General features: G+C 40.8%; 1 protein-coding gene and 1 long non-coding RNA gene across 19 annotated transcripts in view, besides 1 other annotated feature; one reads left to right on the forward strand and one right to left on the reverse strand.

Annotated features, from left to right (window-relative positions):
• Nucleotides 1–4,817: 4,817 nt before the first annotated feature.
• Nucleotides 4,818–5,516, reverse strand: SLC30A6-DT (SLC30A6 divergent transcript). Its single transcript, NR_185886.1, has one exon. It is a non-coding gene; the product is annotated as an SLC30A6 divergent transcript (long non-coding RNA).
• A 124-nt stretch (nt 5,517–5,640) lies between these two features.
• Nucleotides 5,641–16,928, forward strand: part of SLC30A6 (solute carrier family 30 member 6) — a 58,516-nt gene continuing 47,228 nt past the window's right edge. For 10 of the 18 annotated variants that reach the window (XM_011532963.4, NM_001193513.3, XM_011532959.4 and 7 more), the window contains exons 1-4: nt 5,641–5,680; nt 11,064–11,150; nt 13,840–13,924; nt 15,096–15,138. In XM_011532963.4, coding sequence (XP_011531265.1) covers nt 5,678–5,680; nt 11,064–11,150; nt 13,840–13,924; nt 15,096–15,138 — 218 coding nt within the window. In that variant the 5' untranslated portion in view covers nt 5,641–5,677. Of the gene's footprint in view, nt 5,967–11,063; nt 11,151–13,839; nt 13,925–15,095; nt 15,139–16,928 lie in introns of those variants that run through there. The other 8 variants (XM_047444944.1, NM_001330479.2, NM_001330477.2 and 5 more) reach the window with 7 other exon arrangements.
• Nucleotides 6,961–7,477: an enhancer, noted in NCBI's record as "H3K4me1 hESC enhancer chr2:32392253-32392769 (GRCh37/hg19 assembly coordinates)". NCBI's record gives its function as "activates a minimal SCP1, AML or CMV promoter by ChIP-STARR-seq in naive H9 embryonic stem cells {active_cell/tissue: H9 hESC(naive)}" and the evidence as "EXISTENCE:reporter gene assay evidence [ECO:0000049][PMID:30033119]".

A 16,928-nucleotide genomic window follows, 5' to 3' on the forward strand; every position in this document is an offset into this window, starting at 1 on the left:
GGGGGCTGAGACAGGAGAATCCCTTGAGGCCATGAGTGACCAGCCTGGGCAACCTAGTGAGAACCCCATCAAAAAATAAAATTAGCTGGGCATGGGCTGTGGTCGTGCTACTGCACTCCAGCCTGGGGGACAGAGTCCCTATCTCTTGAAAAACTTAAGACAAAATCTTTTCCAGATGAAAACAGAATTTGTTGCTGGCAGACTGACTTTATACGGAATGCTTTAAGAAATTCTTCAGGCTGAAGGAAAATATAAATCTGGAGTGAAAAACGTAGTATCTGAAATTAAAATTTTCCTTGGATGGACTTATCAGTAAATGGATTTCCCAATGGGAACCTGTATCTCCAGGATGGAATTAAGAATTTTGAAATGATAAACATGTTGGTAAATAAGAAAGACATTTTTCTTTTTTATTTTTCTAAATATCATTGCTGTTTAAAGCAAACAAAAATAGTATTGCAGTGTTTATAATATATGTATAAGTAAAATATAGGACAGAAATAGCATGAAGGGTCAGAGAGGGCAATAAATGTAATTATATTGAGATAATATTACTATATTGTACACAAAGTGAGATAGCATTAGTGTAAGGTAGATTGTGATAAGAATGCATTTTGTAATCTCTCACCCCATCACTGGGGTGCAGTAGATCTAAAAAGCCATTAGAGAAGATAAAATGGGTCACTAAGAATTATGTGATTAGTCAAATGAAATCAAGGAAAGAAAAACAGAGCAAAGAAGTGTAAGATAAAACAGTGGGATGGAAGAGCTGAAATTAATAATGTCACTAAATTGCTTACCTTCCTCCTTCCTGAACTGTTGTGGATTTTTTTTTTTTCAGGGGGTTGAGGTTTTTTTTTAGAGACAGAGTCTCTATTGCCCCAGGCTGGACAGCAGTGGCGTAATCAGTCTCAAAATCCCTGCAGTCTCAAACTCCTGGGCTCAAGTGATCCTCCTGCCTCGGCCTCCCAAAATGCTGGGATTACAGGCAGGCAGAGCCACCACACCCTGCCAGAACTATTGTTTTAAAGTCATTAGGTGGTTAAGCCCTCGAGACTATGTGCAAGTTTGATGATTCGTTAGGAGCACTCACAGGACTCAGCATATAGTCTTATTCCCAACAATGATTTATTAGAGCAAAAGGATATGAAGCAAATTCAGCAAAGGGAAAAAAGGAATTAAGTGAAGTCCAGAGGAAACCAAGCACCAGCTTCTAAGGGTTCTCTCCTAATGAAGTCACACAGGATGTCACTCCAGCAACAAGTGACAGCATGTGAAAGTGTTAAGCCTCACTGTTAGACATAGTAAGCTTGTTAGGGAATAGAGGGAATCTCCCCTCAAATTCAAGTTCCCAGATGCCTGGCAAGGGCCAACCTTGCCAGCAGGACTTTCTGGGGATAGCAGTCCCAGGCACGTGTTTGCACAGTGGTTCAGATCAATGTGCTTACATTGGGTAGAGGGGACCTATGGAAGTCCAAATTTGGGTGTCAGAGACCTAATAGGGTGAAGACAGTGTCTACAATGATGGACAGCTAGGTATGAGGTGTCAGGGACAGATTGAGGCAGTTATTCACATGGTGGATAGGGGCAACCTGGAATGAGGAATAAGCTCAAGCACAGAAAGGGGTGTCCATATGGGGTAAGGGTGTCAGCAGAGATGGTAGATTGGTTGCACACCAAAGACTTGATGGAATAAAGTGAATATACTAACCACAGAGAAGGTAATTATAAATACAGAAAGGGGGGAAACTAGAATGAAACCTGGAGTTCAGCTTGAATTGGGTTTAAGAAAGTGAATTCATGGTTTAAAATCTATAAAAATAGATGAAATATCGGCTGGGCACAGTGGCTCACGCATATAATCCCAGCACTTTGGGAGGCCGAGGCGGGCAGATCGCTTGAGATCAGGAGTTTGAGACCAGCCTGGCCAACACTGCGAAACCCCATCTCTAGTAAAAATACAAAAATTAGCCAGGTGTGGTGGTACACACCTGTAGTCCCAGCTACTTGGGAGGCTGAGGCACGAGAATCACTTGAACCTGGGAGGCAGAGGTTGCAGTGGGCTGAGATCGCACCACTGCACTCCAGCCTGGGCAACAGAGCGAGATCCTGCCTCAAATAAAAATAGAGGACATATAAGCATATAAATATACACGTGTGTATGTGTCCAAATATGTATATTCCCTAGTCTGTCCACCAAGGTGGCCTTGGAGCAGTTATGCTCCAATAATAATGAGCACATAAAGTACCCATATCTTGCCTTCCAAATTCTTCACTGTCTTAGTCTGCTTGGGCTGCATTACAAAATACCATAGACTGGGCAGCTTAAATAACAGAAATTTATCCTCACAGTTCTAGAAGCTTGGAAGTCCAAGATTAAAGTACCAGCCAGTTTGGTTTCTAGTGAGGGCTTTCTTCCTGGCTTGCAGATGGCCACCTTCTCACCGTGTCCTTGTATGGCAGACAGCACAAGCTCTCTGGTGTCCCTTTTTAAAAGGGCATTAATCCCATCATGACAGTCCCATCCTCATTATCTCATCTAACCCTAGGTACTTCCCAAAGGCTGAATCACCAAAGACCATCACATTGCTGGTGAAGGCTTCAACATATGAATTTGAGGGACACGAATATTCAGTCCATAACATCAACTAAAGGAACCAAGACTCTTTGATAAAATGGCTAAATTCAGGGCTGGGGCAGAGAAAATACATGAGTGTGGAACTTCTTGTGCCAGAGAGAAAAAGTGCCCAAAGATTGATGAGGATGAATCATTGAAATGACACACAGATTAAAAGGGTTCCCACTGGACAAATTTGAGCATCAAAATAAGTAATAGTAGTAATTAATTATAACCCATCAGAAGAAATAAACCATGAGCTCATGTGAATATATGAATACAAACATAAACAAATTACAAGCATAATGAGGAATGTGATATTTATATGGTTTAAAGGTACCTCTCCAGGCCGGGTGCAGTGGCTCATGCCTGTAATCCCAGCACTTTGGGAGGCCAAGGCAGGTAGATCACCTGAGGTCAGGCATTTGAGACCAGCCTGCACAACATGGTGAAACCCTGACTCTACTAAAAATACAAAAATTAGCCGGGCGTGGTGGCACGTGTCTATAATCTGCCACTGATTAGGTGTGTGATTTTCCCAAGCAGGGGATAATAGTAGTACCTATGTCAAAGGCTGTTATGAGGATTAAATGAGCTAACACATAATCGTGCTTTTTTTTTTTTTTTTTTTTTTTGAGACAGAGTCTTGCACTGTCGCCTGGGCTGGAGTGCAATGGCACGATCTCGGCCCACTGCAACCTCTGCCTCCCAGGTTCAAGTGATTCTCCTGCCTCAGCCTCCTGAGTAGCTGGGATTACAGGCTCCTGCCACCACACCTGGCTATTTTCAATAGAGACGGGGTTTCACTATGTTGGCCAGGCTAGTCTCAAAAACCTGACCTCGTGATCCACCCGCTTTGGCCTCCCAAAGTGCTGGGATTACAGGCATGAGCCACTGCACCCGGCTTTTTTTTTTTTTTTTTGAGATGGAATCTCTCTCACCCAGGCTTCATCTCAGCTCAGTGCAACCTCCGCCTCCTGGGTTCAAGCAATTCTCCTGCCTCAGCCTCCCGAGTAGCTGAGATTACAGGTGCCTGCCACCACACCCGGCTAAGTTTTATATTTTTAGTAGAGACGGGGTTTTGCCATGTTGGCCAGGCTGATCTCAAACTCTTGACCTCAAGTGATCTGCCTGCCTCAGCCTCCCAAAGTGCTGGGATTACAGGCATGAGGCACTGTGCCTGGCCTCAAATTCTTAGAATACTGCCTACCACATATTGAATGTTCATTAAATCCTAGGTATAGGACAGGGGTGTTGGCTCATGCCTGTAATGCTAGCATCTTGGGAGGCTGAGGCAGGAGGATCACTTGAGCCCAGGAGTTCCAGACCAGCCTGCGCAACATAGCAAGACCTCTCCTCTACTAAAAAAGATTACTGTGGCTGCAGTGTGGAGAACAGATTGTCGATAGATGATAATACCTACGATTTTATTTATTTTTTACTTCTTATTTATTTTTTTGAGATGAAGTGTTGCACTGTTGCCCAGGCTGGAGAGCAGGGGCACGATCTCGCCTCACTGCAACCTCTGCCTCCCGGGTTCAAGCAATTCTCCTGCCTCAGCCTTCTTAGCAGCTGGGATTACAGGCACCCGCCACTACGCCCAGCTAATTTTTTTTATCTTTAGTACAGACAGGGTTTCACCATGTTGGCCAGGCTGGTCTCAAACTCCTGACCTCGTGATTCGCCCGCCTAGGCCTCCCAAAGTGCTGGGATTACAGACGTGAGCACCACACCTACTCAGTTGTTCTGTATACCATTACATGTTCAGCAACCCTAATCCAACCATCTGAAATTAAAATGCTCCAAAATCAAAACTTTTTGATCATCAACACGATGCCACAGTGGAAAATTCCACACCTGACCGCATGTAAAAAGCTGTAGTCAAAATTTTGTTTGATACACACACAATTTTTAAAATTGCATAAAATTACCCTGAGGCTATGTGCATAAGGTGTATACGAAACATAAATGAATTTCAAGTTTAGCCTCTGGCCCCATCCCCAAGATAAAGAGCCACAATCTGAAACAGTTCTGGTCTTAAGCATTTGGGATGAAGGATACTCAACCTATACCCAGTTTTCTACACGACACTACTTATGAATATCTTTTAAAAATTTCTTTATCCCTACTTGTTTTCTGTCTTCCCTACCAGAATATAATTTTCACGAGACCAGTATCTGACAAACACACGTGCTACATATTCAATCTTTATCGAATGAATTTAATATTTTCCAAGTTTTCTATAATTAACATTACTTCTATATTATTAATTTTATAGAGAATCCAAATAGCATTTTATTAAGTAGACCATTAGTCGGTCCGAGTTCAAATTCTGCTACTACAGCAAACTATATGTAGGACTCAAGGCAAGTTTCTTTTTTTTGAGACGGAGTCTCGCGCTGTCGCCCAGGCTGGAGTGTAGTGGCGCGATCTCGGCTCACTGCAACCTCCGCCTCCTAGGTTCAAGCGATTCTCCTGCCTCAGCCTCCAGAGTAGCTGGGATTACAGGCGCGTGCCACTACGCCCGGCTAATTTTTGCATTTTTAGTAGAGCCGGGGTTTCACCATGTTGGCCAGGCTGGTCTCGAACTCCTGACCTCAAGTGATCCGCCTGCCTCGCCGCCGAAAGTGCTGGGATTACAGGAGTGAACCACCACGCCTGGCGGAGGCAAGTTTCTTAATCTTCTTTCCTCACTTGTAAAACTGGAATACTGTCCATTTTCATAAGGTTAAATCATACAACACAGGTAAAAGCGCTTCAGCACGCAACGAAATTTTTCTAACGTAACGAAAAACTCCTCGTTGCTCCTTGCCTTGCCCTTAACCTCAACGCTTCAGGTCCCGACCAATCTCTCGGAGAGCTCAGAGGGAGCCGCTCTAGCCGCCTTCCGCCACGGAGTGCAGGGACAGCCGGGAAGGGGACGGAAGCCGGAGGCCAGAGCACGCACTTCCTCCCACGCTTTCCTCACAGCCAATCGCCCACTGGTGCCCCACCCCTTCCGTTCTGGGAAAACTCGAGCACCCAGAACGGCTTCCGGCGGGAGCTGTGCAGCTCCTTATCATGGTGAGTTGGCTGTTGGGGTGAGGGTTTCGGCTGTAGCTGATTCGGTTTATCTTATTTGGTCCCGAAGCGACCTTGAAATCCCTCAGCCACCCAGAGGAGGGGTCATTGGAGTTGAAGTCGGGCCCCTTGGCAGGAGCGGCTGTCTCCCAAAATGTTCCCCTTCAGAGTTCTGGTCCCTTTCGGTCCCTCACCTGTTCCGCAGGCGCTCACGATCTAGGCCCCGCTGCAGGCAGAGCTTTCAGCTCCTGGCGAGTTTCTGACTTCCCTCTGCCGAGATTTCTTTAAGGTAATAAAAGTTTTTGCCAGCGTCAACAACTAGGCCACCAACAAAAGATCTGAAAACAAGTCCACAGCAACAACTGTAATAGTGATTCTTAGAGCAGTGGCGATAACGCCAGCGGAAAAAAAAAAAAAAGGTTAGTAATAGGGTTTTAGGGCAGACGTCTCACTCTGCAACTTGGCTTTACTAAATATTAAGTAGCCTGATTACGGCAGCAAATTTCATAAGCGCAGTAACTACAGAAAGTCAAGGTGTTGGTAGGACATTTTATTGCTGCTTTATTTCTGGGTTTGTAGAAACTAATGGAAGACCCAGTAGACGTTATGGTTGTTGGGATATGGTGTTTTCTCTCAAATTTGTTAGAATTAGTCATTCTTTGCCTTTAGAGCTCAAATATATAGCTCTGAACTTTAAAGATAAGCAGTTGGTTGGGATTTGAAGTGTCCAAGTGGCGTGTGCCTTTTGAAAATGCATTTATTAGAAAAATTTATGGAGTACTTATTGATAGCCTACGTATGAGAAAGAGACCACATTTCTGTGCCTAAGCTTTTGTCACTGTACTAAGTTTTTTACTTAAGTGGATATGGTCGGGAAAATGCCTCATTCACACACTTTATGTTTTGTAAATTTTCTGTAATCCTTTTGCACACAGAAAATGGGTAAAAGTTTACACTTTTTGGCTAATGATCAAATAGCCTTCAGTTACGCTCTTCTTCAAAACATTCACCATTGTGAAGCCTGTAGCCAGAGTTATATTTCTAAAATTTGACCACATCACTCCCTTACTCAAATTTTCTCCTTTTTTTTTTTTCTGTAGCACTCAAGATAAAGTCCTGTTTAGCATGGCATACAAAGCCACTCATTATCAAGCTTCTTACTTTTACAGCCTCTTTTTTTGTTGTTGTTTTCGAGACGGAGTTCCACTCTTGTTGCCCAGGCTGGAGTGCAATGGCGCGATCGCGGCTCACCACAACTTCCGCCTCCCGGGTTCAAGCGATTCTCCTGCCTCACCTTCCCGAGCAGCTGGGATTACAGGAATGCGCCACCACGCCTGGCTAATTTTGTATTTTTAGTAGAGACGGGGTTTCTCCATGTTGGTCAGGCTGATCGCGAACTCCTGACCTCAGGTGATCCTCCCGCCTCTGCCTCCCAAAGTGCTGGGATTACAGGCGTGAGCCACCGTGCCAGGCCACAAACTCTTTTTTTTTTTTTTTTTTTAATGCATACATGTATGCAACATCCGTATTTCAGCCACAGTGAATAGCTTGCAAATCATGCTGTATTAATTGAGCCTTTGTACCTAATTTGCATATGCTCTTCCATCCCCAGAATTGTTCTCTGTTCTCTATCGGCTGTCCTTATCAGAATAACCCTTATATATCCTTAATTATTTTTCATGAACCTTTCCCTCATGTTCCAGTATCCTCTTAGTTGCTTCTCCTTTGTGCTCTGGTGGTACCTTGTGCTTTTATATGCACAAACACACACACACACACACCAGTTTTGTTACATAAAGCTGCACAAAACGAATACATACAATAGAAACTTAACTTGCCTATAATACTGATGATTTGAAGGGAGTTGAAGATAAAGGGATAAGAGACTTAAAATTCAGAGGTCTTTCAGATTATACACCTTCATTAACTCACAGCCCTAATTTAAGAAAGTAAAACTTGAATCTCTTGTGTTTTTTACCAGTAACATCTGTAATCCTTACAGACGATGTTAAAGTTGTGTACTTATTTGTCTTTCTCACTTTCTAGACTGTAAGCTCATTGAGAGCAGGACCTATGTATTTCACCCTAATTCCCAGAGCTTTGTAGCGTGCCTGGCCCAGAGGAAGTTTTCAATAAACATCTGTTTTATAAGACACTGAAAACTTATGGCACTATATCTTTATGCTTGAAACATTAGTATTAGTCATGCAGGGAAACAGTATTTAAGGTTTATTTTAAAGGATATTGAGAAAAGGTTTTGCGTTTATTAAGAACATGCTATGTGAAAACAGTACTTTCTTAGAAAATATAAAGAAAAATACAAATAAAACGTCTGTTTTATAAAGCACTGAAAACCTATGGCACTATATCTTTATGCTTGAAACATCAGTATTAGTCATGCAGGGAAACAGTATTTAAGGTTTATTTTTTAAAATAAATATTTTAAAATAAAATATTGAGAAAAAGGTTTTGTGTTTATTAACATGCTGTGTGAAAACAGTGCCTTCTTAGAAAATATAAATAATATAAATATATAATATTAAAAATATAAGTATATAAAAACAAAATATAAAGGAAAATAGCCCTTGTCATTAGTGAAGTTACTAAAATTACAAAGCAATGTAACAAGTTGAAGGCTTTACTTTGGTTAATGCAAAATAAGTGGCATAAAAAACACTATAGTTTGGAATGATCTAGGAAGACTTCATTTAAGAAGTGAAACATGAAACTAAGTACTTTGTGCCCCACTCTAATACTCTTAATCTAATACTTGTTTGTCATTATATGAATAAGAGCTTGGGTTAGACAGATCTGGCCTTTTCACGCAAGAGTGGTCATGAGACAAAAGAGTAGACCAGTTTAACTGAAGTTGAGGGTTTCTATCTGGAGTAAGAGATAAGACTGGAAAGAAACAGGCTAAGTCATTGAAAACCTGGAAATTCAGGTTGTAAAATTTGTAGTTTATTCTGATAGCAATGGCGAGCCAATATAATTTTGGGAAGAGTGATATGACATTAGGATTTTTGTTTTATTTTCATTGTCAGGATGGCATCAGAAGTGGCTTTCTGCCTCTTAGAAACCTTGTTGATTCTCTTAACCTGAAACTTAAAGTTGGCTAGGGTTAAACAGAAGATGTCCAAAATAACAGTATTAAGGAGAATTTTTTAAATCTTTGGAACCAAAATAACTCACACATAATTCTTTAAGAAAAGAATATATATACATATGTACATACACATATATATAATATTTATACATATGTACATTTATTTATGTATTTATTTATTTATTTCGAGATGGGGTCTCGCTCTGTTGCCCAGGCTTGAGTAAAGTGTGAACCTGGCTCACTGCTTGACTTCCCGGGCTCATGCGATCCTTCCACCTTGGTGTCCTGAGTAGCTGGGACTACAGGCATGTACCACTATGCCTGGCTAATTTTTTTCTTTTCAATTTTTTTGTAGAGACAGGGTCTCAGTATATTTCCTAGGCTGGTCTTGAACTCCTGGGCTCAACTGATCCTCCTGACTCAGTCACCCAAAGTGGTGGAATTACAGGCATGAGCCACCATGGCCAGCCAAGAAAAAGATATATTTATTGGCTGGGTGCGGTGGCTCACGCCTGTAATCCCAGCACTTTGGGAGGCCAAGGCGGGCGGATCACGAGGTCAGGAGATCAAGACCATCCTGGCTAACACGGTGAAACCCCGTCTCTACTAAAGGTAAAAAAAAATTAGCCGGGCGTGGTGGTGGGTACCTGTAGTCCCAGCTACTCCTTCACCGCAGAATGGGGCTGCGACAGAGTGAATATCCTGTTTGCCGTGTAGCCTATATTTAAAATCAGACTGTCCTCCTCAAAAGCAGCTGGAACTGAGGTTCAAGAGATGGATGTGACTGTGTATAGGGAGAGGCATACCATTTTTATTTTTAAAGTATCAAGAGAAATCATGATTTCACATTAACAATACAAAGTTGCAAAAGCAAATGTGAATAATGAGCAGGTACTGATTTGGCCAGCTTTATAAATGTGTAACTTTTAAAACTGGGTTATTCATCTTTTTAAAAATAGTTTGTGGAAGCTCATTGTGTATAGAGAAAATTGGCCTATTGTCTGTTGTGAATTATAGTTTTTTTTCAGTTTGACCTTCTTAAAGTTTTTTTCCCCCTTAAGGGTATTACATTCGCCCATGAAATTATATAGTAAAATCAATCAATTTTTTTCCTTTAGAGCTTCTTGGGTTTTATGCCCTATTAAGAAAGGCTTCCCCCAACTCCCAGATTATAAAATAATACATCTAGACTTTCTTCAGTCAAGTACTCTATAAATCTGTATTTTATTTTTAAAAATAACAACAGAGTAAGGAGTAACGGTAAGGGTGAAACATTACCTTGATCAAAATACCATTTATTGACTGGCTTATATTTTCTCCCAGTGATATTGGATACTGCTTTTCTCATAAGTTAATTTCTCATATGTGTTTGAACTCTCTGTTCTGCTAAGGCTTTCCCATGTGATTTCCTAAACTTGGGTGGTTAATCCCCTCTAGTTGCCACTTGGTCTCCTCTCTCATTGGTGAGCCCTATCTTTACTATCCCCAAACTAACTATACACTAGCAGGGGCCAGGGAGACTAGCCAGGATGTCAGATACTTTGACTGAATGCCTAAGAGAGAATCTCAGGGGTTTTACTATAATAGTTGCCTGAACTTACTTTCTTTTTGAGACAGAGTCTCACTCTGTCACCGAGGCCAGAGTGCAGTGGCACAATCTTGACTCACTGCAAACTCCACCTCCCAGGCTCAAGAGATTCTCACGCCTCAGCCTCCTGAGTAGCTGGTATTACAGGTGTGCACCACCACACCCAGTTCATTTCTATATTTTTAGTAGAGACAGGGTTTTGCCATGTTGGCCAGGCTGGTCTCAAACTCCTGGCCTCAAGTTATCCCTCTGCCTCGGCCTCCCAAAGTGCTGGCATTACAGGCATGAGCCCCAAGCACAACCACATATATAGCTTTAATTAGGTGAATTTTCAGTAGAAATTTCCAGTAGAGCTATTTGGCAAACTATTTCTTTTTCAGTTCAAGTTGCCTTATCCATTTAAAAATAAAGAGTGTGGTCTGGAGCTAAAAAGCCTGGGTTTGAATTTCTGCTCAGCCATTTACTAGCTCTGTGACTTTGGATGACTTACTAAAAGTTGTCTCCACCACATAGGTTTATTGTGAATATTAAATCCATAAATACACATAAAGTGTCTAGAATAAGTGCTTGATGTATATTGAGTACTTAATAAATATTGGTTATTTATATCATAGGAACCACTATATCATATCATAGGAACTCTGAAGATGATTAAATATCTAAATGCTGATTTGTATATGTTTGTTTGAAAGGGGACAATTCATCTCTTTCGAAAACCACAAAGATCCTTTTTTGGCAAGTTGTTACGGGAATTTAGACTTGTAGCAGCTGACCGAAGGGTAAGTTATTCCTTAACCCCAATTTTAATTATTGCACAAACAACATTATAACATTGAAGAAAGATAATTTTTAAGGCCAATAGAAATCACTCCTGATCCTGCCACACTGTTTTCATTTTTCTATGTTGGAAAAGTATTTTTTTAGTGTAAAATTGCAGTTGTTTGGTGTTAAGTTGTTTTACTTTGGTAGGAAGCTTCTGTTAAAGTTTTGATTCTAATTCTGAAGTGTTTTAAAGAAAAATGGTTTTGTGGTTGCTTTTTGTTATTAAGTTTTCAAAAAATTAAATGGATCCAGTCTAAAGCCATGTTTTCTCTTTTATTTATTTTTTTTTTTTTGAGATGAAGTTACACTCTTGTTGCCTAAGCTGGAGTGCAATGGCATGATCTTGGCTCACCGCAACCTCTGCCTCCCGGGTTCAAGCGATTCTCCTGCCTCAGCCTCCCAAGTAGCTGGGATTACAGGCATGGGCCACCACGCCCGGCTAATTTTTTGTATTTTTAGTAGAGATGGGGTTTCACCATGTTGGTCAGGCTGATCTCGAACTCCCGACCTCAGGTGATCCGCCCACCTCGGCCTCCCAAAGTGCTGGGATTACAGGCGTGAACCACCGTGCCTGGCCCATGTTTTCTCATTTTTAATGTAGGGCAAGAAAAATATGTTTTGAGACTGTAAATAAAAAGATGTAATTGCCATCCTTTTAGGCCACCAATGTAAACCTTCTAGTTACTGTGTTTCATGCTTCTCATTGTTGTCTAAATGATAAACTCTCTGAGGGAAGTGACTGTCTCTATTTTGCTCACCTTTTTATAGAAGTACAATATAAACATTCAGTAAATATTTGATGACTTTTAAGTAAAGCCAGCTTCAATGAAACAATAATAAGCAGTACCAATGGGCACTCCAATTGAAACTCTGCCATATTTTCACTATTTTTCAACTCCGTTATCCTCATTTGCTTCCTTATCCAACTTAGATTCTATGCTCCATCATTATCATTTCCCTCCTTTTTGTTCTTTTTTTTTTGAGATGGAATCTTGCTAAATTATCCAGGCTGGTCTTGAACTCCTGGGCTCAAGGGATCCTCCTTCCTCAGCCTCTTGAGTAGCTGGGATTACAGGGGTACACCACCACTCCCAGCTAGTATCATTTTCTTTTATATGTTCTCAACTCTTTTGTGCTCCCCTTCCCTCTGTCTTAATTCCTGGAAAATCCCTAACCTTCATTAAGTTCACTTTCTTTCTACTCTACTTGCATCTAAGCAACTGAATGTAACCTGAGAGAAACAAAACCATGCGACTGGTCTCACTTTGAATTCATGATCAGACAGACCATTAGTGCTGCCTATTAAGTGCTGCCTATTAGTGCTCTTTCATTTTATATTTCCTTTGTTCATTCAATTTTCCAATTTCCTAGATGGCTGTTTCATACGATGTTCTTTCGTTTCTATCCTCAAGCTTCTAATACCTTCTTCATCCTCACCCTAACCTGATGATCTTGCTTCCTGTTTCACCAAGGGAAAAGAAGTAATCAGAAGAAAACTTCTACATCCTATCATTAGCACATCAGCCATCACTCCGCCTTCCCTCCTATTTCTCTGGACAAGCTTTCAGTTCTTCTCTATAAAGGCAATCCTTTCACTTGTTGCCTACTGAAAGATGATGTCCCTATAATTGTTCTGTTTCTTACATCATTGTTTTTCTTGCATCATGCATCATTCTCCTCTTTCTTGCATCGTAATTACATGTTATAAGTTCCACTCTCAGGGCTGCTTCATTTCTCAGCTTCCTTTTGTAGCAAACCTACTTGAAAGAATTATCAGTACATTGTGTTCACCTTCTCTTCTCCTCATCTTTATTAAACACATACCAGTTAGGTACTTGTGCCCACTAATTCACATAAACAGCTTTTACAAGGTAACCAAAAATCTCTGTGTTGCCAAAATGAAGATTTTTCCTTATTTCTCACCTTACTTGGTTGATGTTGAACAGCCAAAGTCAGTACTTTTTTTTTTTTTTTTGAGACAGAGTCTCGCTCTGTCGCCCAGGCTGGAGTGCAGTGGCACAATCTCATCTTACTGCAACCTCTGCTTCCCTGGTTCAAGCGATTCTCCTGCCTCAGCCTCCCAAGTAGCTGGAAATAGAGGTGCCTGCCACCACACCTGGTTGATTTTTTGTTTTAGTAGAGACGGGGTTTCACCATGTTGGCTAGGCTGATCTTGAACTCCTGACCTCCACCCACCTTGGCCTCCCAAAGTGCTGGGATTGCAGGAGTGAGCCATTGCACCTGGACAAGATTACTAACTTTTAGGAACATCATCATGCCCTTTATTCAGATTCACCAGTTGCTTACATTTGGCCCCATTTGCTTCATCGTTGTCTCTATAATATGTACTTATAGAGACAAAACGATATGCATATGTATGTGTATTTTTCTCAACTATTTGAGAATTTCTATGTCAGAATTTATTTTCTCTTGAACAACTCTCCTTCTGGAACTATTCTTTTAAACTTGTATACTGTAATAACTTAGCCGATGACAATTTTGGTAGATGTAGAAAGTGTGACACAGACTTTTTGAAGGAAGTTATGTTTATTCCTTTGAATATCAGAGTATAAATTGTAGCAACTTGAACAGACCCCGTGAAATTTATCACTTCTGTACACATAAGAGTGATTTTTATTTTCACAGTCCTGGAAGATACTGCTCTTTGGTGTAATAAACTTGATATGTACTGGCTTCCTGCTTATGTGGTGCAGTTCTACTAATAGTATAGGTATGTCACCTTTGTATTTTTATGGAGTTGTTATTTTTACTTTTATTTTTCTCATTGGAAATAAAGGTATATCTTACATAGAATATATTATTCTGAAATGTATATAACTCAAATGATTTAAATAAGGGACTATATTTAAAACTTCCCTGTAAACTGTAAACTTTTGTTCATTTGTTAGGATTGTAATTTTTTTTTAAGTTTTTTTCCTTTTAAAATATATTTTAAAACAGAAATGGGGTTTCGCCATGTTGCCCAGGCTGGTCTCAAAATCCTGAGCTCAAACGATCTACCCACCTTGGCCTCCCAGAGTGCTGGGATTACAGGCGTAAGCCACAATGCCTGGCCATTTTCATTTTAAATAAGCTGTTATTTTTTGAAAAATCATTAAATCTATCTGGAGATTTTTTTTTTTTTTTTTTTTTTTTGAGACGGAGTCTCACTCTGTTGCCAGGCTGTAGTGCAGTGGTGTGATCTTGGCCCACTGCATCCTCCACCTCCCTGGTTCAAGCGATTCTCCTGCCTCAGCCTCCCAAGTAGCTGGGATTACAGGCACGTACCACCACGCCTGGCTAATTTGTGTAGTTTTGGTAGAGATGGGGTTTCACCATGTTGGCCAGGATGGTCTCGATCTCCTGACCTTATGATCCACCCGCCTCAGCCTCCCAAAGTGCTGGGATTACAGGCGTGAGCCACCGTGCCTGGCTGGAGATTTGTTTTTAATATAATAGATTAAAACTTTAATTTATGCAGTTTGTAAGTTAGATTTTGAGGTTTGTTGGCTTTTCCTTAAAAAGGGAATTCTGTAATTTTTTTCTTATATCTTTTTATGTTTTTTATTGCATTGTTCTTTTGTTCAGTTATTCAAACAATACATTTGAAATAGCGCTGAGATTACAGAAGCAGGCAGAAAAATGGTAACAGGGCTTTTGAACATTCATTGCTTCATTTTTCCTAATGGAGAAATCAGGTTGGGAAGTAAGCTTTTCTACCAACGAACTTTGGCTACATATATTTATCAGATTTACTAGATAACTGCCAATATATGAGGTTGGCCCGTGACTCAAAAGTTTTTTTGATAATGGATACCCCTGGTAGAAATAATTTTGGTAACTTGCTGTATTTTTTTAGAGGGGTCAGTAATACTTTTAATCATTTTTTTGTTGTTTTGCAGCTTTAACTGCCTATACTTACCTGACCATTTTTGATCTTTTTAGGTAAGTTTTTAGGAAATCTTAATGTTTTGGAGCTAATAAGGAACTTGGTAGAAATGTGGTATAGCCATACAATTCAGCAATAAAAACAGCAACTACTGATATCTTACAAGAAAACAATAAAAACATTATGCTTTGAAGACAGTCATAAAGGACCACATATTTTATGATTTCATTTATATGAAATGTCCAAAACAGGCAAATCTATGGAGAGAAAAAGTAGATTATGAAGAAGTTTTCTTTGCTTAAAGGAAAGTAATCTACTAAATAAGTAAAATTATCAACATAGAACAAACACACAAACAACAATAATTAGAGACATAACAGTAATTAGAGAGCAGGTGGGGCGGCTCATGCCTGCAATTCCAGCACTTTGGGAGGCCGAGGCGGGTGGATCACTTGAGGTCAGGAGTTTACGACCAGCCTGGCCAACATGGTGAAACCCCGTCTCTACTAAAAATACAAATAGCCAGGCATGGTGGTGTATGCCTGTAGTCCCAGCTACTTGGGAGGGTGAGGCATAAGACTTGCTTGGACCCAGGAGGCGGAGGTTGCAGTGAGCCGAGATTGTGCCACCACACTCCAGCCTGGGCAACGAGCGAAACTCAGTCTCAAAAAACAAAATATTTATAAATTTGATTATATTAAAGTTAAAAACTCTAGGTAGCAAATGTCACCATAAACAGAGAATAACCTGAGAAGATATTTGTAATTCATACCTCAGAGGGCTAATTTTGCTAACATTTGAAGGGCCCTACAATTTAAGACAAAGACCAAGAAAAAGAAAAGGAAGAAAAAAATTATAATTCATACAGAGAGTTTACAGAAAAGGAAATATAAATGACACTTATGAAAAGTTGCTTATCTTCACTAACAGTAAGAGAAATGCAAATTAAAATTACTCTGAGATGCTGTTTTGCCTGTCACGTTGGGAAAGCTTAAGAAATTTGAGTATACCTGTGTCGCTGAGTGTATTAGGGAAACGTGCTCTTTTGTTTTTTTAAAAATGGCTTTATTTGGCCAGGCTTAGTGGCTCACGCCTGTAATCCCAGCACTTTGGGAAGCTGAGGAGGGTGGATCACAAAGTCAGGAGTTCGAGACCAGCCTGGCCAATATGGTGAAACCCCGTCTCTACTAAAAATAACAAAAATTAGCCAGGCATGGTGGTGGGCATCTGTAGTCCCAGCTACTCGGGAGGCTGAGGCAGGACAATTGCTTGAACCTGGGAGGCAGAGGTTGCAGTGAGCTGAGATCGCAGCACTGCACTCCAGCCTGGGCGACAGAGTGAGATTCCATCTCAAAAAAAAAAAAGGCTTTATTGAGATACTATAATTCATATGCCTTAAAATGACTTTTAGTCTCTTCATACATAGAGTTGTGCATTCATCACCATAATTAACTTTACAATATTTTCTTTCTTTTTTTTTTCTTTGAGACGGAATCTTACTCTGTCACCCAGGCTGGAGAGCAGTGGCATGATCTCAGCTCACTGCAACCTTCGCCTCCCAGTTTCAAGCTATTCTCTTGCCTCAGCCTCCCAAGTAGCTGGGAATACAGACATGCACCACCACGCCTGGCAAATTTTTGTACTTTTAGTGGAGACGGGGTGTCGCCATGTTGGCCAGGCTGGTCTCGAACTCCTGACCTCAAGTGATCTGCCCACCTTGGCCTCCCAAAGTGTTGGGATTACAGGTGTGAGCCACCACGCCTGACCTACAATATTTTCCTTGTCTCAAAAAGAGACCACTCGCCTTAGCTATTACTCTCCAGTCATTCCGTTCTCCCACTCATTC

The sequence above is a fragment of the Homo sapiens genome, chromosome 2 (assembly GCF_000001405.40).
Source record: "Homo sapiens chromosome 2, GRCh38.p14 Primary Assembly".
Taxonomy (NCBI): Eukaryota; Metazoa; Chordata; class Mammalia; order Primates; family Hominidae; genus Homo; species Homo sapiens.